General features: G+C 36.8%; 1 long non-coding RNA gene across 1 annotated transcript in view, besides 1 other annotated feature; it reads left to right on the forward strand.

Annotated features, from left to right (window-relative positions):
* LOC105374039 (uncharacterized) overlaps positions 1–22,726 on the forward strand; it is a 177,487-nt gene that overhangs the window by 136,612 nt on the left and 18,149 nt on the right. The gene's annotated exons all lie outside the window — the stretch shown is intronic.
* Positions 7,378–8,577: an enhancer, noted in NCBI's record as "MED14-independent group 3 enhancer chr3:111227353-111228552 (GRCh37/hg19 assembly coordinates)". NCBI's record gives its function as "activates an origin of replication core promoter dependent on BRD2, BRD4, P300/CBP and CDK7 cofactors, and independent of MED14, by STARR-seq in HCT116 cells {active_cell/tissue: HCT116}" and the evidence as "EXISTENCE:reporter gene assay evidence [ECO:0000049][PMID:35650434]".

Below are 22,726 nucleotides of genomic sequence, written 5' to 3' on the forward strand. Positions count from 1 at the left end.
CTGGGGGCTATACAATGTAATTTTCTATAAGGTGCAGAACACAATCAAAAACTACTCAGAAAATTTAACCAGTTCTCAAGGGAGAAGACAATCTACAAGCACTAACCATAAAATGTCTTGGAGTTTAAAGCATGAGCTAAAGATTTTAAAGCAGCTTTTACAACTATACCCCATGAGGTCATGGAAAATACATTTAAAAGAAATGAAATATCGGGTGGATCACGAGGTCAGGAGATCGAGACCATCCTGGCTAACACGGTGAAACCCCGTCTCTACTAAAAATACAAAAAAAAAATTAGCCGGGCGTGATGGCGGGCGCCTGTAGTCCCAGCTACTCGGGAGGCTGAGGCAGGAGAATGGCGTGAACCCGGGAGGCGGAGCTTGCAGTGAGCCGAGATTGCGCCACTGCACTCCCGCCTGGGCCACAGAGCAAAGACTCCGTCTCAAAAAAAAAAAAAAAAAAAAGAAATGAAATATAGAATTTCTCAGCAAAGAACTACAGCCTATGAAAATGAACTGAATAGAAACATGACTTGAAAAACATAATTTCTGAAATTAAAAAATTTACCAAAAGACCTCAATTAAGGCATGAAAATGACTATAAGTCAGTGAAACATATATCAATAGAAACTATCCAATATGAAGAAGAAAGAGAAAAGAATAAAACAAACAGAGCCATTGTGACCTGTAGGTGAATACAAAAGTCTAAATGACATGCTATTGAAGTGCCAGAGAAAAAGGATTATGTGGCAGAAGAAATAATTGTTGAAAATGCTCAAATATGATAAAAGACATAAATTTACATATTCAAGAATCTCACTGAACCCTAAAGAGGATATAACACAACTAAAGTAAAAAGAACATGCCTAGACACATCGTAATCAAACTGCTGAAAAAACAAAGACATATAAAAACTTTTGAAAGCAGCTACAAAATGATGCATTACATACAGGGGAATAATGATTCCAAATGACCACAAATTTCTCAATATAAACTAGGGAGGCTAGAAAACCCTGGAGTAGCATCTTTGTGGTGCTGAAGGAAAATAATTTCAACACAGAAGTCTATATCCAGCAAAAATAACCTTCAAAGCAATGATAGATTCTAAGATACAGGAAAACTAAGTTCATCACTTGTTTTTTGTTTTTTTTGTTTCGTTTTGTTTTGTTTTACAAGAAATACTAAAGGAAGTTCATTAGGTGGAAAGGAAGTGATAGAAGAGAGAAACTCAGATCTTCTGGAATAAAGGAAGAACAAAATAAATGGCAAATATTGGGTAAATATAAACATTGTTTCTCCATTTGGGTTTTTTAAAATACATAATTCTGTTGAAAGCAATAATTAAACCATCGTCTGCTTGGGTTTTCAAAATATGTAGATGTAAACATAAGATGACTATAATATAAAGGTCAGTGACAGGAGGAACCTATGTGGCTGCAAGATTTCTACATTTTATTTGAAGTGGTACAATATTAACTCAAGGTAGAATCTGTAAGATTAGGTAATATTGTAATCCTTAGATCAAGCACCAAAAATAGTATACCAAAAGATACAGCCATAGTAAGAGGTCCTAACACCCTCTCTCAGCAATTGCTAGAATAATTACACACAGAAAAGGAAGCTGTGAACACTATCAACCACCTTGATGTAATTGATATTTATAGAACACTACATCCAACAACTGCAGAATACATATTATTTGCAATGAATATTAACTTCATTAACATAGAATATGTCCTGGGCCATAAAAAACTCAGTACATTTGAAAGAATTAAAATTATTCAAAGTATATTTTCTGAATACAATAGAATTAAATAATCAATAACAATAAGTAGAAATGATCAAATACCTGAAAATTGAACAACAAAGTTGTGAATAATTTATGCGTCAAAAACAAAAGCACAGGACAATTAAAAAATATTTTAACTGAATGACAATGGAAATTTGTGGTATGCACCTAAGGCAGTGCTTAGATAAAAAATATATAGCTTTAAATATTGTATTAGAAAAAAAGAAACATCTAAATCAATACCTAAGGTTTCAACTTAAGAAACTAGAAAAAGAAGAGAAGTAAACCCAAGTTAAGTAAAAGAAATGAAATAAAGATTAAAGAAGAAATCAATGATTTAGAAAACAGACAATAGAGGAAATTACATCTAAAAGTTGATCCTCTGAATAGATCAGAGGCCGTAAAAAAGTACTTTTCACAAGACAAATCTGCCTATTTTTGTTTACTTCTGTTTTCCTGTAGAGAATAAATTGTTTCATAAAACAATAACAATTTTATTGAGGTATAATTTACATACTATGAAATTCATCCATGTTAAGTGTGCAACTTAGTGATGTTTGGTAAATTCCTTGAGTTGTATACTCTTCAACATAATTGTTTTAGAACATTTTTATCACTTACAGTTAATCACCATTTCCACCCCCAGCTGCAGGCAAACCACAAGTATAATTCTTGTCTCTATATATTTGCCTGTTCTTTATACATACTTCTTAGAATCATATGATATCTGTTCTTTTGTGACTGACTTCTTTCATATAGCATAATTTTTCAATGTTCATCCATGTTGTAGTATGTGTCAATTTTTTACTAGTTTTTAATTGCTGAATAGTATTAGAATATATGTATATAACAAATTTTGTTTATCCATTTAGACTGTTTCCCCACTGGGGATATGAAATATTCTGCTATGAATATTTACATGCAAATCTGTGTATGGACATATGTTTTTGTTTTGGGAGAGTAGTTATATGATTTTAGGAAACTTCAAAACCATTTTTCAAAGTGGCTGTAACTCTTTATATTCCAACCAGAAATGTATGAGGGTTTTTATTACTCAACACAAATGCCAACAGTTATTTATTTCTCTCTTTTTGATTATACGGTGACTGTGGAGTATTAACTCATTGTGGTTCTTTTTGGTTTTGTAAATAAAGTTTTATTAGCACATGGCAACAGTTGCTGGGCACAGTGGCTCAGGCCTGTAATCCTATCATTTTTGGGAGGCAAAGGCAGGAGGATTGCTTGAGCCTAGGAGTTAGAGACCAGCCTGGGCAACATAACAAGACTCTATCTTCACAAAAAGAAAATAAAAGAACTCAGCAATATTCATTTGTTTATGGATTGTTTATGGTTGATTTTACTCAACAATGGCAGAGTTGCATTGTTACAATGATGATCATATGGTCCACAATGCTTACACTAAATTATGAGCTTATTACTACTTGGCGTTTTACAGAAAAAAGTTTTCTGATCCCTGGAATAGATCAACAAAATTGACAAACTTCTAGTTAGATTGATTAAGAACAAAAGAATACACACATAAATCACAGTTATAATGAATTTTTTAAAAAGATTATCATTACATATTCTCCAGGCATTAAAAGGATCATAACTTAAAATTGACAAGTGTTCTTAAAAAGTGGTCCTCCCAAAATTGGCATGAGAAGATAAAGAAAATCTGAATAGTCCTATACATAATAAATTGAATTTATCAAAAACCCTCCCAAAATGGAAAGTCTAGACCCAAGTGGTTTTACTGGTAAATCTTTTCTAATCTTCAAGGAGAAATAACACCAATCTTACACAAGATTTTTAGAATGTAAAGAAGGTTAAATTACCCCATATTATGGGTAATCTCTTTTGTTGAAGTTGTAGCATAATCCCAAGTACCTCAGAATGTGACCTTATTTGGAAATAGGGGCATTTCCAAGGTAATCAAGTTAAAATGAAGTCATGAGGGTGAATTTAATCCAATCTAACTGGTGTTCTTATAAAAAGAAAATCTAGAGGTAGACATGCTGCAGAGAGAATGTCTTGTGAACATGAAAGTAGGCAGTGGGGTCATGCCTCTACAAGCCAAGGGACACTAAAGATTTCCATTAAACCACCCAGAATCTTGGGAAGAGGCAGGAATCAGATTTTGCTTCACAACCCTCAGAAGAAACCAACCCTGCCAATACACTGAAGCTGAACTTCCAGAGCTATGAGACAATAAATTTCTATTGTTTAAGCCACCCAGTTTGTGGTACTTCATTATGGCAGCACTAGCAAATTAATACACTCCCCAACTTGTTTTATGAGGTTCATATTACTCTAATACTGTCAAAACCTGCCAAAACCATAAGAGAATGAAAACCAAAGAGAAAGGAAAGAAAAAATTATAGTCCCATATATTTTATGAATGTACATGAATACAGATGCAACAACTCTTTGCAAAATTTTGGCAAATTGACTTCAACAATATATTAAAGGAACAATTAATTATATGGCCAAGTTGAATTTATCCCAGAAATATAAGACGGTTTAACATTCAGGAAATCAAACAGTGTAATTTGCCATATTAATAGAATAAAGAAAAAAATATTATTATTTCAATAGATACAGAAAAAACATTTAACAAAGTTCAACAACACTATTCACAATTTTTTTTTAAATCCAGGAGACTAGAACCTTTAGCAATTTCCTTAAATTAATAAAGAGCATCTACAAAAAGCTGAGACCTAACATTTTACTTAATGTTAAATGATACTATTTCTTCTGAGATGAGAAGCAAGTAAAAGATGACTAATTTTATTTTCTGTTCAGCATTGTACTGGAAGCCTAGTCATTACAATAAGTCAAGAAAAATGGTATTAGGATTATAAAGTAAAGCAGTCTCTGTTCATAGATGGTATGATTGTTTATGTAGAAAATGCCAGAAAATATTTAAAAAAAGCTACTAAAACTAATAAATTGCTTGAGCATGATCATAAGACACAAAGTTAATATACAAGATTAAATATTGGCCTATGTTATAGAAACAAACAATTGGAAATGAAAATTTAAATAATCTCATTTAAAAAGCACCAAAAAATTAGAATGTGTAGAAATATATCTAATAAAAGACAACCAAAATCTCCCTGCCTGTAAATACGATCATTCAATTTATAAAAAATGTAACCCAATAAGTGAGGGGAAAAAAAAGCCTTTTCATATAGTAGTCCTAAATCAACTGACTGTTTGGGGGAAAAAATGGATTTTTACTTCCTGCCATTTGTAAAATTAACTAAAAATCTATTATAGACCTAAATGTAAAACTCAGAATTATAAAACTTTTAGTAGAAAGCACAAAGAAATTCCTTTCAATTTTAGGGTAGGAAAAGTACTTTTTAAATATAACACAAAAAAGCAAAAGCCATAAAAATAATGTGGACATATCCAAAATCATAATTAAGGGGGAAATAAAGGACAACCCATAATATAGGAGAATATATTCAGGATACATATATCAGACAAAGGACTTGTATTCAGAATATATAAAGAACTCACACAACTTAATAGTAAGATAAACACTTCCTGCTTCCCACTTCCACCACCAATAGACAAAAGATTTGAATGGACACTGTATAAATGAAGATATACCAAAAACAAGCTCATGAAAAGACGGTCATCACTAGTCATTCTGGAAATGCAAATTAAAACCACAATGAGATTCTACTATACACCCACTAGAAAGACTAAAACTAACAAAACTGACCATACCAACAGTTGGCAAAATCTGAAGAAAGTGGAAGTCTCAAACACTGCTGATGAAAATGTAAAACAGTAAAACCACTTTAGAAAACAGTAATTTATGAGGAAGTTGAACACACAGCCAGCATAAGGCTGATCCATTCCACTTCAAAGTATGGACTCAAGAAAAAAAAAAAAAACATGCCCACACTAAGTCTTGTATGCTTATATTTATAGCACCTTTATTTGTATAGCCAATAACTAAAAACAACTCAAATGATCAACAGGTGAATGGGTAAACTGTGGTATATCTAAACAATGGAATGTTACTCAATAATAAAAGTGAACAAACTATTGATTCATGTAACAGCATGGGTGAATTTCAAAATTATGTAAAAGAAGCCCGGCCAACAAAAGTGTCCATACTATATAATTTTATTCATGTAAATCTAGAAAATGCAAAGTAATCTGTAGTACAGAAAGTAGACTGGTGATTCCTGGGTAGCAGGGTGCAAGGATGGATAAATTACAGAAAGGCATGAAGACATTTTGCGGGGTAATGGAATTGTTTTATATTTTGAATCTGGTCTTAGTTTACAGGTCTGTACATGTCAAAACTGTTCAAGTTGTGCATTTAAATAGGCATAGTTTATTGTATTCCAATTATACCTCTATAAAGTTATAGAAAAGAAATAAGCAAAAATTATAAAAGGTAAACCTGAAAAGATCCTTGAGAGATCCAAAATGGATTTGAACAAATGGAAAAACACTTCTTGTTTTTTAACAAGATGATTCACCATCATAAAAATGTTACCATCAATTTAATCTTACATCAATAACAATAGTTGTCTTCTGGAGCTAGACAGTTCATTTAAAAGTTTATATGCAAAAATAAAATCAAGGAATAACAAATAGGAAAACACTAAACAAAGCAGTAAGGCAGGACTAGCTCTACCAGAAATTAAAATATACACAAAATCCTCTGTAATTAAAACAGATGGTACTCACATATGACTAGGCAGGTGGACTAATGAAACAGAACACAAAATCCAGAAATAGACCCAAGCACATCTGGAAACTTTAGTATAGGAATAGACTGAATCTCAATTCACTCAGTTAAAGATGGACTACTTAATAATTTGTATTAAAACAACAGAATAGTCATTTTGGAAAAGATAAAAATTAATTCCATGCCTCAAATCACACACTAGGATAAACCCCAAATGAATCACATCTCTGAAGATAAAATAAAACCATTCATATTTCTAATATAGAATATTGATCGATTTTTTTTAATTCAATGGTGGTTAAAAACTTTCTAAATGTGATTAAAAATCTAGATGCAATAAGATTAAAAGTCTATAAATTTAATTACATAAAATTATACTTAAAACACTATAGACAAAAAAGCAAATGACAATCTGTTAAAAAATCATTTCCAACATATATCTCAGATCAGAATAGGTAGGTAGATAGATTATAAAGTTGCAAATTTGGAAAATTCTGGTGTCTGGTCTGATATGTAAAAAGTTTGGAAGCCATCACTCTATCCTCACAAGGTAAAGCTGAACAAACAAAAAAACAGTAATGCTTAATTGATCTATCAGAGAACTGAGGTCACAGGGCAAACCACTGCCCTGAAAACTGGAGAGACAAAATACTGAGAACCACAGCTTATTGAAATTAGAAACCACTGCTGGAGCCTATTAAAAATAACTAAATTAAATGGTATTTGGCTAATTGACAGAGACTGAGCATGGAACTAGCTTGAGAGATAAGAACTCCAAGAGGGCCCAGAACCATGAGGCTCTCAGGGTAAGTATCAGAGAAAAATTTATCATATCTGTTGGGGGGGGAGAGGATAAGTAACCATTCTGAAATAAGTCCAGAATGCTCTGTTCTTAACAAAGGCCTGCCCTCAAAGGAAACTATTTAACCAGAGCCTACCTACCTGGGCCTTGCCACAGCCTAACTTACCTGGGGAAAGGGAAAGAAACAACTCTAGTCTCCTTTCGCTTTCCTGTTTCACCTAAGTAGGGGAAAGGGAAGCAATGATAAGCATTTGTGAAGGTCATAACCCAGGGACACAAGCCCATTAAAAGACAGAAACCTAATCATGCAACTACAGAATGCTTCCTTTCCCCCATGTGTTACTGCCAAATCAACAGGGCTTCTGTATAATAACAGAGGATTACAGCTAAGAGAACTGCAAGCTTCAGATCCTATTTAAGAAGTCTCTAAGGAAACCTAGAGATGACAGAACAACAGAAAACCTAGAAACAACAGAGACAACAGAAAAGACACTAGAGGACAACAGGACAAAGAGGACAAAGACACTAGGACTCTATAAGACAACAGAAAGGACACTAGAGAAAATTTTAACTGCTGACGCATGCAACTACAACAAACAATAAACACAGTTTAACTGCTACCCAGATACATAAAACCTCACACCGAAGATCTATTTACCTCAGTTTCTTTTACCTATACATCAGGTCCAGCTTTCAACAAAAATTTACAAGGCATACTGAAAGGCAAAAATAGTCTTGAGAGACAAAGCAAACTTCATAAGCAGACTTACATATGGCAGAGATTTCAGAATTATCACACCAGAAATTTAAAATAGTTTTAATTGATATGCTCAGGGTTCTAATGGATAAAGTGGTTAACACACAAGAAAAAAATGGGTAATGTAAGTGGAAAGATGGAAGTCTGAGAAAGAATCGAAAGGAAATGTATGAGGTACATGGATGTGCTTTGGTCAGGAATAGGCCGAGGCAGACATCTGGGCCAGAGTGACTCTGTGAGTTTGGAGCGCAGGTGTATAACTCCACTTGTTTGTGTAAGCTCCTGGTTGGCTTTCAGCCACTATTGTCTGTAAAAGGTATAACTACCCTGCTGATGCTGTGCACGGGGCTTGTGCTGGCATGCCCAAAGAAAGAGAGAGAGCCAGAGGCAGTCACCTTGAAGGCAGGTAGAACAAGCAGCAGAATAAATACCAAAAAACTATACTTAGACCTATTATATTAAACTGCAGAAAATCAAAGACAAAGAGAAAAATCTCAAAAGAAGCCAGAAGAAAAACACCTTACCTATAGAGGAACAAGGATAAGAATTACAATGGACTTCCATTTGGACAGTATGCAAATAAAAAGGAAGTGGAATGAGACATTCAAAGTGTTGAAAGAAAAACCAAACTAACACCCAAAATTCTGAATTGGGTTATTTTTCAAAAGTGAAGTATAAATAAACACTTTCTCAAACAAACATTGAAGGACTTGGTCTCCAGTAGACCTGCCTTGTAAGAAGTGTTTAAAGTTTTTCAGAGGGGAGGAAAATACTATAGACAAAAACCTATTTATATCCAAAAAAAGGAAGAACATTAGAGAAGAAATAAATGGAAGTAAAATGAAATCTTTTATTTTTATTAATTTTAATTGATCTAAAAGATAACAGTTCAAAATAATAAAAGCAACAATGTACTAGGTGAGTATAGTTTATGGATAAGTGAAATGAATGACAGCAATGTAATAAGGGACAGGAGAGAAGAATTGGGAATGCTTCATTGTAAGATACCTGTATTATTTGTGAAGCAGTATAGTTATTTAAAAGTGGGCATGCTGTTTCTGCTATGTTTCTGTTCATCTGCACTGAAAAGTTAACTCGTTTCATTTAGATGCTCCAATGGACCCTATAGCATGATGTCTTAGTCCATTTGTGCTGCCATAAGAAAATACCACACACTCAATAATTTATAAATAACAAAAATTTATTATCTCAAAGTTCTGGAGGCTGGAAAATCCAAGATCCAGACACAAGCCTCTGCATCTTCACATGGAGGAAGGTTGAAGGGCAAGAGAAAGCAAACCCACCCCTACAGCCCCCTTTTTAAAGGCATTATTCCATTATTTAGGACAGATCCCTCATGACCTAAACACCTCTCAAAAGGCCCCATCTCCTAACACTATTATGCTGAGGATAAAGTCTCTAACATATGAATTTGGGGGGCACATTTAGACCATAGAAGATGAATACGTCCATGAAAAATAGTTGATACATTTGAGCTTCCTTAAGTGGAAGAGTTCTTGCAATCCTCCTCTAGTTGTGCTGAGAGAGACAATCTATAATTTCACACCCGCATGTTCTTAAATAGGTGAATTACGTGATTCTGTAACTATTTCATTCTGTTCCTTCCTTTCTTCTACTCTACCATTAATTCTTGACTAACTAGTACACACATTCTACATAAATAATTGTTTATAGCTATAATAAGTGTAGATTAAGATAAAATATTTTATGATGTCTCTTGATACTACTAAAATTCCTTTCTTGAAGAAATATGTTAAGAGAAAACATTTTCTAATAGATAAACATTTCTAATAAATAGGTATTTATTATTTCTAATAAATAAACATTTCTAATAATAAACACACATCATTATTAACAAACCAAATTTCAGAGCCTGTATTATAATCTGCAACTATTCCATTATATGTTTGCTGCCACTTTCTTCTACCTGTAAATTACCCAATTGTTTGAATCTCAATATCGATCATTTCTCCCTCACAGTGACATTGACAGAATTAAATTAGATAGACATAAAAATAATCCCCACTACATTGTCTTACATAAAAGTGGAATAAGGAGAATATCTTCAAGGAAATTAAAAGTTCTCTTTGCTTTTTAGAATTTGTTTTCCTTTCAAAATTTAGATTTACATTTCATACAACATTAGGTAAAAATAAGAAGGACCAGTGATCTGATTCTGCTCAAATCACTGCTTATGTCTGCCATTAGTATTAGAAAGAAGGATATGGCCTGGTACAAAGGCACTGCACCTCCTATCCAGATGATACAGGAGAGAATGAGAGAGTATAATGATAAGCAACTGGGCTATAATAGAACACTAGGAATGAGCTGATCTTTTTCTCATTGTATTTCTGCTATTAAGTCCCAGCTTATCTTGGTTTTACTTTTAGCTTCCTGTTATTGATAATGCATTCAGTTTAGAGACAACTCTATCTAGATTCAAGCTGTGGTTTTAATGCAGAAAAATAAAACGTTAAGCTTCTTGAGGGGAGTGATATGGTGTGGATGTTTGTCCCCTTCAAATTTCATGCTGAAATGTCATCCCCACTATTGGAGGTGAGACCTAGTGAGAGGTGTTTGGGTTATGGGGGCAGGTCCCTCGTGAATGGCTTGGCGACATCCCCATGGTAATGAGGGAGTTCTAGCTCTGAGTTCACATAACATCTGGTTGTGTAAAGAACCTGACACCTCCCACCTCTCTCTCTTGTCCCCTCTCTCACCAGGTGATATACTGGCTCTCCCTTTGCCTTCCACCACAATTGAAAGCTTCCTGAGGCCTCACCAGGAGCAGATGCTAGTGCCATGCATCTCATACAAACTGTAGAACCATGAGTCAAAATAAACCCTTTTTTAATAAATTGCCCAGCTTCAGATATTTTGTTATAGCAGTGCAAATGAACTAACACAGAGAGGATTCATGTGTTACTCACTTGTTGTCTCTCCACCACTTAATAGTGCTTACTACATAGGAACTTCATAAATTCTTAATGTTTGGATGAATAAGCCAAAAGATGTGCGAAAAATTATGCAGATAAATCTCTGATTTTTAATTTTTCACTAAGGAGAAATTTATACTTAAAATCTGAATTAACAAAATCTTATTCTCTTTAAACAAAGTTGAAGATAAGATAGGATTAATTAAGAATATATGAGGATTAAAGGGATAGTAACTCTCATTTGCCGGAAATGACATCACTCTGAAGAAGTTTTGTTTTTTTTTCTATTCTTTATTCTTTACTTCAATAACTATTTCAGCAAGTTTTCCTGAAGAGTCCTTTGTGATACAGTCAGTTACAGCCTTCAGCTGTGCTAAATAAAGGAACAATTGTAAATTTAATATTGGAGGTCTCTCTGACATACCATTCTCTTGTGGGGAGGTAAGTGAGAGGGGAAGGTGGAGAAAATATCATGATTACTTTTTCTCATTGCCTCCTTTTTGCTTTTGCCCATAGCGTGTTTTACTACCATCCATCAGAGTTATGTCAAGAATAGGCTTTACCCAAAATAGCTGAAAAGTAGCATAGTTTATCACTTATCCTCACCAGTGAGTCAGTTTGAAACTCACTGTCTTCTACTAGGTCAAAAGGAATTGCTAATATTTTTAGAGGACACGATGGATGGCAGTTAGGATTTTAACAAAAGGTGACCAAAATAAAACATCAACATCATTTTCACTTCTGAATTGAAGAAGAATGGGAAAAGCATAGATGACATTTCTTACTCAACCTGATTTTGCCATTTATTTTGAAAGGGAGAGGGAGGGCAATGGGGATAGATTCCAAGCCATCATTTAAAAATGTGACTACAGGCATTTGTTATTGACATGTCATTGCATCGTGCTACTTGAAAAAATTTTAAATGCATTTTTCTTTCCATGAGTCTGATTTAAGTTTGTCTGTCCAAAATTCCTTCAGGAATGCTCCCCTCTTTGTGTCTTCATTTTTCAAGGGATGAGAAGTTGACATAAGGGTTTTACTGAATTTGGTCTTGAAATCATAGGAAGAAAATTGGTGTTTTGTTGAATCAGCCCCTCTACTATTGAGCGTCTCTCTGAAACTTTTATGTTCTTCCTAGCTGACTCCTGAACTAACTAGAACTACTGGTGCTTCAATTTTGGGATGCATTCAATATTTAGCTTTTACTTTATCACTTCAGAGTCATCTAGTTTCAAGTTCTTTAGTTCCCACTTCCCTAGCAAAATGGTTTATAAATTGGCATAAAAGAAACACTCAAGGAATCAGCAGGAAAGTTGAGGAGAGTCAAGGAATTGTCAACTCCCCTCCCATCCACACTTCATTCACACAACTTCTGCCTTTATTTTCTGTATATATTAAGGTTAATCGATATGTTATATGGATTAAGGGAACCACTGGTTTAAGAAGTTGAAAACCATTGCTCTACCCTATTTAAAGCAACAGAAGAAAAGCAGAATCATAAAAATTTAGAACCAAAAGGGATTTAAGTGACAATCCAACTCTCTGATTATATGGATGAGAACGTTGAGCTAGGGAGAAATGAAGAAACATGTCTGAGTATACATAGTGATTTGCAGATATAAATCTATTGATTTCTACTCTAATATCCTTTCTTATTTTTCTATAATGTCAGTGATGCTTAAAGAATGAAGACTGAGGAAATATCTTTCCAAGGGCTGCCTAATTTAATGTTATTAGCTACTTCAGAGATACTCTAGATCACATCAAACCATATTTATCTGCATACATTTATGCATTCATCATTCCATCTTTAGCCAAAGAGATATAGGCCAATAATAGAAATCTGTTCCTGACTATATAGTTGTTACAGCACAAATACTGTAATAAATCCATCTAATTCTCAAGCACTCAGAGTCTAAATGATAGAAGCCTGTCTTTCAGGGACTATATGGAGAGCATGTATTCCAGATCCTACATGGAAGAGAACACTGACCAGTGAGTAGACACACACATAATACAGGGCTTCTGATCATAGATTACTGGGGACTTCCAAAAATAATTTAAATTAAAAAGAGGAACTTCTTGCCTAGATTTTGCTATGAAAACTTGGATATCAGCATGTCAGTTTGGAATGCATACTGTAACTTTTTGCAATAAGTGATCTATGAGCCTTCAAGCCATATGTCTTCATTCCTGGATTTGTGTTATTCTCTGGAAGGGCATAAAATAGGAAAAACACGGTGACATTAGCACAGTCTTTTGCTATTTGCTTTATAGCATCACCAGCTCCAACACCAATCCTCCAGCTCTTAAGGGCATCTCACATGTGCTTCAAATAGTTCCTTTATTGACCACAGTGGGTAGGCCTTCTTTGTATACTTCTGCTCCGGAGCCACTGCTCTGCTGTCAAGGTCTCCAGTGTATGTGGACCATGTTAAGGTGCCCTGTATCTGCTGGCAGAGCCCATTGTGATTCTCTCTTTCTCACCAGTACCACTGCTTTCATGAGTATTGCCCTCACCTCCACAGGGCACTGATGCTGCCACTAGGCATGGACACTGCCTCTCCCTGGTACTGCTTTTTTTCAGAGAGTGCTATCAGATGCTTCTGCTACAATATGCCACTGCCATCTCAATGCACCCCTGACACACACTCTGGCTACTGTCACCTACATTGGGCCTGTTTTTGCACAGAACCCTCAAGAAACCCTGTCCAATACTACATGGGGCTCTGTGAAAAACTGCATTCTTCTCTTTCGTGAGATATCAAAAAAGGGCTGTTTGGGTCCCATGCTCTACAGAATTTTTATTGAAAGCTGTGATGAGATAAACTTTTTGACATATATGTGTTCACAGCTTTTTTCTTCCTTTTTTCCCCTACTTTAGCTCCTTTGCCTCTCCCCTCTCTGAAGAGATGATGGGAAAAAGATCTAAGTAGATGGATTAATTTGAGTAAAGCAATCAGGGAAAAAGAACCACATTCCTGGAGGAGCGAGGCCTGTAGTAGAAAGCTATGCCATACCAGATGCATATTGTGAAAGTTCTGTGCAGAGAAAGGAGATGATGGACCAGGATGGTGAAGAAAAGGCTATGTAGATGGGAGAATTCTGTTAGGATGCAGTGGAAGGACAGCAAGAATTTGGAGAAAACAGCATGTTTTCATTAGAATAGCTGTGAACAAAGTTTCTCTATTCACATGATGCTTCAGAGATAAATTTTTACATTTCAGCCTGTACCAGGTGCAGCTTTATAGACACTATGTAATATTTCAGTAGTTATGTACTGTATACTACCATATTCTCACCCTATTCCTCTCCTCTCTAGATACCAAGACATAAGTTCATAAGGATTAGGTCAGGAGACAAATATGAAGGAGAGGCAACAAGATGTCCAAAGAATTCCCACTGCCTCCTGAAGCTGAGACTTCACTTCACAGTCAAGTCTGACTGTCTCTTTCCTTCCCTGAGACAAATTCTCCCCAAGATTACTCTTAGTCCCACAAAATTCTGGCAGATCCAATCCTGAGTCGGCTAGCATTGACCAGATTTGTCTGAGCCCCAGCCAAGAAGGAACAGAGTTTAGGTTCAACTGAGACTGCCACTATCTTTCATTTCAATAAAAAGTATAATTGTCTCTTGGATCATGGCAAATAACTCTTTCATTGTTTTCTCATTCTGAAATTTCAGTTTTATAAATCCCCAAATTAATTCAGAGAAGCTGAAGATGAATCTGCTTTAGAAGACTACATGCTTCCCAAAGTATCCCAGTTGATTTAGGGGCTAATTTATTGTAGGTTTGTGGGCTCACTAGCTTTTAGCCTCATTTTGCTTCCCATATCAGCATCTGTATTTGTTTGACAGCCACTGGCTGAATGACTCTGAGAGTTATGAAGCCATTTGGATGGCCCAGGGGCCACATGGCTCATCTGAGGTGACACTGTGTGTGTTTATTATTTGTCATCAGGTTAAGATGTGTCTCACATAAATTAAGCTCAGGGACTGAGTCTACCAGTTCTCTGGAAAAATAATTCCAAGTTTTTAGTGATGTAAGATTCTCCCCAAACACATCAATGTCTTTTGCTTGAAGTCCAAACAGAGATGATGCCACTTCCTGATAGAAAGGAGGCTATTGCTACCATGCACCAGGCACAGCACTAGGAACAGGGGTCACCGAAGAATATGCCAGTCTCTATTCTCAACTCTAGGAGCCTGCCTCTCTAAAGGAGAAAGACAGGAACCCCCACCTGGCAGAGTAAATACTAAATGGAGGTATGCTCAAAGTATAAGGCTAGATTCTCGTGGATGGGCGATTAAGTTTGACTCTGCAGGAAGGAGTAGCTTATGGTAGAGCAGAATGAGGTGATGATGCTTAACTGCCCTCTTTTATATTGTATCTGTGCCATGAGGTGATGCTCTTGGCTTAGAAGCCCTCACACTGCCATTTATACCAGTCCCTTAGATCTCGGTCAACCCCTCCCGCCCTGAATTAGTGCAATGGCTACACATCAAAGCATTTGAGAATCTTTTGAAAAATAGTGATGATCAAGCCTCACCACAGGCTGACTGAGAGAGAATCTCCAAGAAAGGAGTCTGTGCAGGTCGGGGGAGCATTAAAGCTCTCTTAAAGCTGTCTCCCCAGAGGGACTCCCTAGATGTACAGCCAGCCAGCCTGGCACAAGCCTTCAGACTGGCCTCTGGAAACCATTGCTCCAAATGACCTCCATCAGAATCCCATACAGTCCATCAGTGGGGCTGGGGAGTATTCCCTGAAGTATGCCACAAGATGTTATCTGCTTTTAAAGATTGGACTGCGAGCACAACCTGAAGAGGAGACGCCTATGGGAAAAAGTGGTGTACGCTAAACTTAGAATTCACCTGTCTATTTTTGGTCCCATCCATCATGTCTAGACTCTCATTTGTCACCATCGGGTAGAACTATTTAGGACACAGTCAATCAGACCACTGTGAGCTATGAGGATAAGTGTATGAGATCAGATCTAGGTTAGCTTCAAAGTTAGCTCTCTCGGCTCCTCCATAAATTCCTGGAAGTATTTATTGGTCATACTAAGTAGTCCTTTTTCCATAGGGATTTGGGTACATGCCAGGTTTGGCCATTTGCTCAGACCAGTGAGCTGACTGAAAATATGCAAGTACCCCTGAACCTTCAGATTCACAGGCACCCTGGCCATGTGCACTTCTGTGGCACAGCAGCAGTAGTGCCAGCTTGGTAAAGGAGGGAAGCACTGGGCGTGAGGCAAAAGAACTGGATTCCAGTTCTCACTGCCACCATGTATCTGTATGACCTTGGGTGTTTCACAGAACCTCTCTGGGTCAATTTCCTTATCCATAGAATGAGGGAACTTGACTAGAAGATTCTCAGGGTCAGACCTCTTTTCACTGGGATAATGTATGATTAATAATGCTTTGGAAATTGTTACAAAATGATTTGCATAGATATCTCTGCCTAAGCTATAGGTAGTTGGAAATGTGACTCCCAGAAATAATTTTTTAAAAGCCATTCTTTATTAATTAAAATGGGATGAAAGAAAATGGTCTAATATTTATTTGATGTCTGCTGTGCACCAGGCATTGTGTTAAGTGGTTCTCCCTTTGTGAGTTCATTTAAGCCTTCTAAAAACCCAAGAAAATTCCTGTTCCAGTTAAGAAGAACCTGGAGTATTCTCATTTCAGATAAGACGGCAGACACAAAGGGTAAAATAACTGGCCTAAGTTCACAGAGCTAGTAAATGATAGAGCTAGGGCTCAAGTCCAGGTTTTGTTATTCTAAATCCAGTGCTTTTGACAGTTGAAATTCAGTTGTAATCCTGTGGGTGGGAGAGGCCCTTTGTAAATCAACTGGCTGGTCCAGTTCAATGGAGAATGACTGTGGGTAACCACACGTGAGAGCGTTGCTATTTGTCCTGCGTTTCATGTTTGCCTTCAGGGGCCTTCATAAGGCTTGCATTAGCAACTCAGACTCTGACTGAGTTACCAAATGAATGTCCCTATCCCCTTTCTGCTCTTACTAACTTTTATTTCTTAAAGAGGAAAGTTAAAAATAAATCACAACTAAGTATTAGGGCAAAATTAATGCCGTGTCTTTAATCATGTAAATGCAAGCAAAAATCCCAAATGTAAAATCCCAAGGCAAACATAGCAGAACCCATTGTACCAGCAGAGAGGGAAAGAATACCATATTTATTAAATTTTTAAAAAAATATTTGCTAGGACATTGTATTGCAGTAGCACAGAGAGTCATGACTTTACATGTTCTGCCTTTCTATATGATTAAAATACCAATTTTGACACTGCATTAATTTCAACCAAAATTCACTCATTTTATGAAATATTCTTTAAAAATGAAGTATTATTCTAAGACTTAAAATGTGAAAAAGAATTACTTATCAGTGTTATTGGCTCACATAACATTTATAAAAAATGAAGAGACAGCTTGAAATGATTCTGAGGTCACACAGTAGAGACTTTAAGCTGTCCAGCCCCAATTCACACTTGGCACCTGGCAAACATTTAAACCACACATCTGTGAAACACTTAGCCATTCTTTGAGTAATAGGAATGCCTCATACAGAATCTACTCTGGTAGAGGAACCAGCTGGGCAGATGTGCCATTCATCACAAAGTGGAGGCCCAGCATTTTCATGGGGTGTGGAAGAGGCACCAGCAGTATTTTCTAGCCTCAATTGTCTCTTTGCCTACAGCTTTCTATCATTTACTTAACACTCAATTTCCTTTCACCTTTCACCATCACCATCATTGTTTTCAGTTCTTTTAGCTCAGAAAGTGTGGGCCTAATATTAATATCTGGATTGGTCAGTTCCAGAAGTTAAAGGTCCTTGCCAGCCTTAATCTAAAGTAAAACACACACACCCACACACACATGCATACACACAGATAGAGTGATTGCTTGTGAGCAATGTCCATTCAATCTGGGATCTATGAGATCCTTTAGACACTTTATTTCCTGTTTTGTTCTCTTAATTTCCCTGGTTTGGTTTCAATGTAGACTCAGGTCTGGTCAATAGATAATGTAGATACCGTATCACTGGCTTCTGAGAGTAATTGTTTTAATGAGGCATCTGACAGGCTCCTGTTGGTCCCCAGGAAGCACAGCAGAAGGGATTGTGTTTATAATCGACTCTAATCCGTTCTAATCTTTCACTTTAACCTCACCAAGAATTAAGTGATTGATTTTTGGTCTCTTGAAAGAAAATAAAGACCTCCTGAGACAAAACTTGGCAGCTGTCCAAAGACAAAGAAACAATTGAGGGCTGGCACCATTTGTACTTGGATATGGGGAACTGTCTTGGTCTAAGTAGGTCATTTCCCTCCCACCAGTTCTTGGTTCCTATTTGAGCACTCGCATTGTCCTGGGTCAGGAAAGTTAGACAGAATTTCACAATAATTTATCTACCTCAGCGTCAGACACCTGTAAGACAAAATATGGCAAATATGGCTAGGCCAGGTTATTCCTTGGCATTCTGCTTCCTCTAAGACGTATCTCACTCCCTTGACCTAAAGTCCAAAGGCTGTAGTTCCCAGATTACTGCTGTCAGACAGCAGGAACTACCCTTTTTCTCACTCCACTCAGAAAGACATGTTAGTTCCCCTCTAAAAAAGTTTATTTTCCCTATAAGTTGGTGTTGGCTGGAACAACAATGTGCTGTTGGGGTAAGAAGTAGCTGACTACTAAATTGGATGTTATTCACACAAGTGCTCATCTTTTAACCTACTAGTGAAATTGGGGCTGAAATGATAAACTAATGAAAATAGAGAACAATACGTAAGCATTGAGGGAAAGCTGACCTCCTCCTTCCTTACCTCTCTTGTCCCCTCCAAACTTCCTATTCTCACCATTCCTCAGCCACTTTTTTAGTTTCTATTTTTCCATATAGTTCAAATATGCAGTGCCAGAGGAGTGGTGTGCACAGAGACTGAACTTCAAGTCAGAAGGCAGAGGGAGAGGATTCTTTGGAGAACAAAAAAAGAGAATGAGAGATAGCAAGAGGGGGAAGCAATTAAGTATATTTGACAATAGACCCCATTGTCAGCATATTTAATTGTCTTCACGCATCTTTTTGTACCTAGGCACCTCAGCCTCCTAACATCACCACCTGGCCAAGTTGCAGCCTCCTATCCAGCATTCTCCTATCTTGCTCCCTAACACCAGGTACTGTTGATTTCAGTCCAAAGTCAGCCCTTCATCTTCAGTCACACTTTCACCTATGCTCAGAAATATTTTTTTTTTGCCTCCTGTCACCATCCTCCCACTAACTAGTCCAAAATTCCCTGTTCCACTTTCCTTAGGGCTCCTTCCTCACTGATTTTCACAAATAACCCATCTTCCCTTCTATTTATACATAAGGTTGGAGGTTCAAGTCAGAACTTCAACTTTCTTACTCTCCACATCTCAATTTTACCATAATTTCTCTGATAACCACCCTGCTATAGAGCAAAAACTTCCCTATTCAGTCTGCGTACCCCATCAGTGCTCTATTGCACTCTCTTAATCTCCCAAATACTTCCCTGTGAGTTTTTTCCTGTTTCTTGAATTATTAGTCTCTTCCTCTTCACTCTCTGCTTCCTACAACCTAATATAAATTTCGTCTTATGAAAAAAGTCTCATCCCAATAATACTTAACTGCTTCCCCCTCTTGCTATCTTTCATCCTCTTTTTTTTTCTCCAAAGAATCCTCTCCCTCTTTGCCTTCTGACTTAAAGTTTAGCCTCTGTGCACACCACTACCCTGGCACTGCATATTTGAACTTACTAGTGATAAATGAAGTTGGGAGTGTAGACAGAGAATAAAAGAAGAAAGAAAACAGGACTGCTGAAAGGTTAAGATTGCAAGAGTAGAAGATGGAATCACCTACGAAGAAGATGGGAAAAGGCTAGCCACAGAAGCGTGTATGGAGTTAGGAATGGGGGCAAGAGAGCACAGCCCTGGACTTACCCTGAAAGCCAGACCAAGGTCCACAGAAGCCCCACTTTCTGAGCAAAGGGTGTCAGGAGAGGAAAGAGCTAACCTCCATTCCAGCCAGGTGGGCTTTACCCAATAGGTCTGTGGTTGCATTGCTGGGACAGAGAGGTGAAGACCAGTGCAGCAGGTGTGAGGCTGGCCTTTGTCCTGCAAGACACTGCTGGATAGAGGGGACAGTCAGCTGCTAATGCCAGGGGGACCAGCAATCCTGGAAGGAGCTAATAGGAGATGAAGGAATCTTCTGGTTAAGAGATGTGGTGCCCCCTCACCTCTCTCTTCCTACCCATCCATCCACAACTTCTAGCCCCAGGAACTTTAATTTTTAACAAAGCATTACTAATATCTAGGTTTTGTACTGATTTGATTGCCTCCTGTTTTCTCGGCATCCATGTCAGAAGTGTCTTTGAAATTTAAATTAATGAAAAATATTGGGTTTTTTTCAACCTATCAGCAAACATTAGGACTTTTATTATCAAACTTACATTTATAAGAAGAGTAGCCAGACCAAGGCTCAAGTATAATTTAAACGGAAAAAAAAGTGCTTTATTGTTTTGTCACACTGAAGCCTTGAGCCACACAGATCAAGTTTATGTCAGAAAATTATTAAAGGACCAAGTCTACAACATGTGGATTTGGGGAGCATATGTCATATTTGATGTGGGAAAGAGGAATATCCCACAATTGGATATAAAGGATACGTCAAAGGCAAGTGTATTTCATAACAACATAAGAGGAAATGAGAGGGAAAATCAGTGCAGAAAGAATCTTTGAAACTTAACCAAAAGAAAACAGCTCCTCACTCAGATAGACAATACGGTCCCTGAGTAAATGTCATCTGTAAGAATATTTATCTTTGTGTTCCCACTTTCTTTGATGATATCATTATTCTAGGCAAAGATCATTCCTGTCCGGCCCGCAAACATCAGCAGCACATAAACACTAACTTGCTTAGGGAACTCCACTGGCAGCAGAGCCCAGGGAAATTGTGTCATCCATTTAAGATGTCTCATACCACAGACACACTGTTATCCCAGGCCATTGCTGGCTTCCTTGAAAGCAATAAGCAGACAATACAAGAAGCTGGCAGGAAATCCAGTATCTAAAACCCAATATGAGATTGTGGGCCCAATCTAATAAGAATAGATTCATCTGGCTTTATTCCCATTTTGTCACTTGCTTTGTGGGGAAAGTAAAACACGATAAAGCAGAGCATTATGGCAACCTCTGAGTGCATATTGACTCCTCATTCCCTGAACTTTTATGCTGAACATCTTGAATCATGCAAATTAGTGGGGACTCAGTTTCTTAGCTGTACCTTTCTTTCTATTACAGTGGAAGCTTAAGAGACTTTCTCAAGCTTAGCTTAAAAGATTCCAATATTGAATGTTCTGAGGCTTCTTTAAATTCACAAGTGAATTTGATGAAAATTTAGACATTCATCTGATGTATGTTAAAGAGTCTAGAGTCGTCATCACCCCAGGAAGCAACTGGGGCAGATGCATTGGCTAACTTTCCTATGACTTCTATGGGATCTATGCTTTTAATAAAACTTAAATTTGATTTGAACAAAATTGATAAGGGGTCAAAAGGACAGAGAATCTGAAGTTGAAGCTTCTTCTTGTTTAGTAAGGGGTTTTGTTTCTTTTAAGCAGATGGATTTATTAAGATTTTTATAGCATTTCTGTGCTCAAACCAGTAGATCTGTGTATTGGGTAGCTGTTTACTTTAGACTTTTATGTAAGCCCTAGCAAGATCTTCTCATTAATCCAATCACAGCAGCAGGCTGTGATTAATTTACTGCAGCATTGATTTTTTAAGGAGCATTGAAAAGACCTCCTTAGTTCAGGGAGAAAAAATGCATTAAGGGATTACAGACTACATCTGCCAAAACTAAGATATTTATTCATATAATTTATTATAATTTTCTGTTTTACATGGCCTATCATTTTCTATATATTTCATGGAAATCTTATATTTTATAACTTAATGGCAGGCCAAGTCATTTGGTGATGACTATTAAACTCGTATTGAATCAATGAACTAGGAGGCCATTTTCATTTATGTAATCTTTAGCAGTTTACCATTTTACTAATGAGGAAATGCAAGCCCAGAAAATTAAATGACCTATCTATCCAACATCACTGAGTTGGAGGAGAGCTATATCTAGAAACTGCCTTCCTTCCCTTGACTCCTCTCTCTTGCTTCTTACTTTTCTTAGCATTATTGTGACTTTGTTAGCTGTGCTATGGGCCAGACACTACACCAGAAACTTTCACATATGTAATCCCTTTGAATTTTCACAGCAATCTTGAAGGAAGGCATTGTCATTACCATAATTTTATATGTAAGGAAACTAAAGCTGAAAGAATTTAAGTTACTTGACCAAGGTCATTCAACTAAAAGCTGGGTAAATCCTAGATACTAAGCTAAAGTTTGTTTCCACCCAAATTCTAAGCTCCTAATTGTACCCCATACATAACATTGCTTAGAAAGATGACATTGCAGTGTTCTGCCACTTTTGCCATTTCCCCAACTTCTTCCTTAGGGCAAAAGGTGACTTTCTAAATTGTTCATGATGTGAGCTCAAATCTTTGCCTGAAAATCACTTTCTTTGACCACCTTTTGTTCCATATATCACTGACTGTCTTAGGGGTCCAAAACAGAGCTGGGAACTTTGGTTAATGATGGATGGCACTAACCAGTATA

This window comes from Homo sapiens, chromosome 3, assembly GCF_000001405.40.
Source record: "Homo sapiens chromosome 3, GRCh38.p14 Primary Assembly".
NCBI lineage: Eukaryota > Metazoa > Chordata > Mammalia > Primates > Hominidae > Homo > Homo sapiens.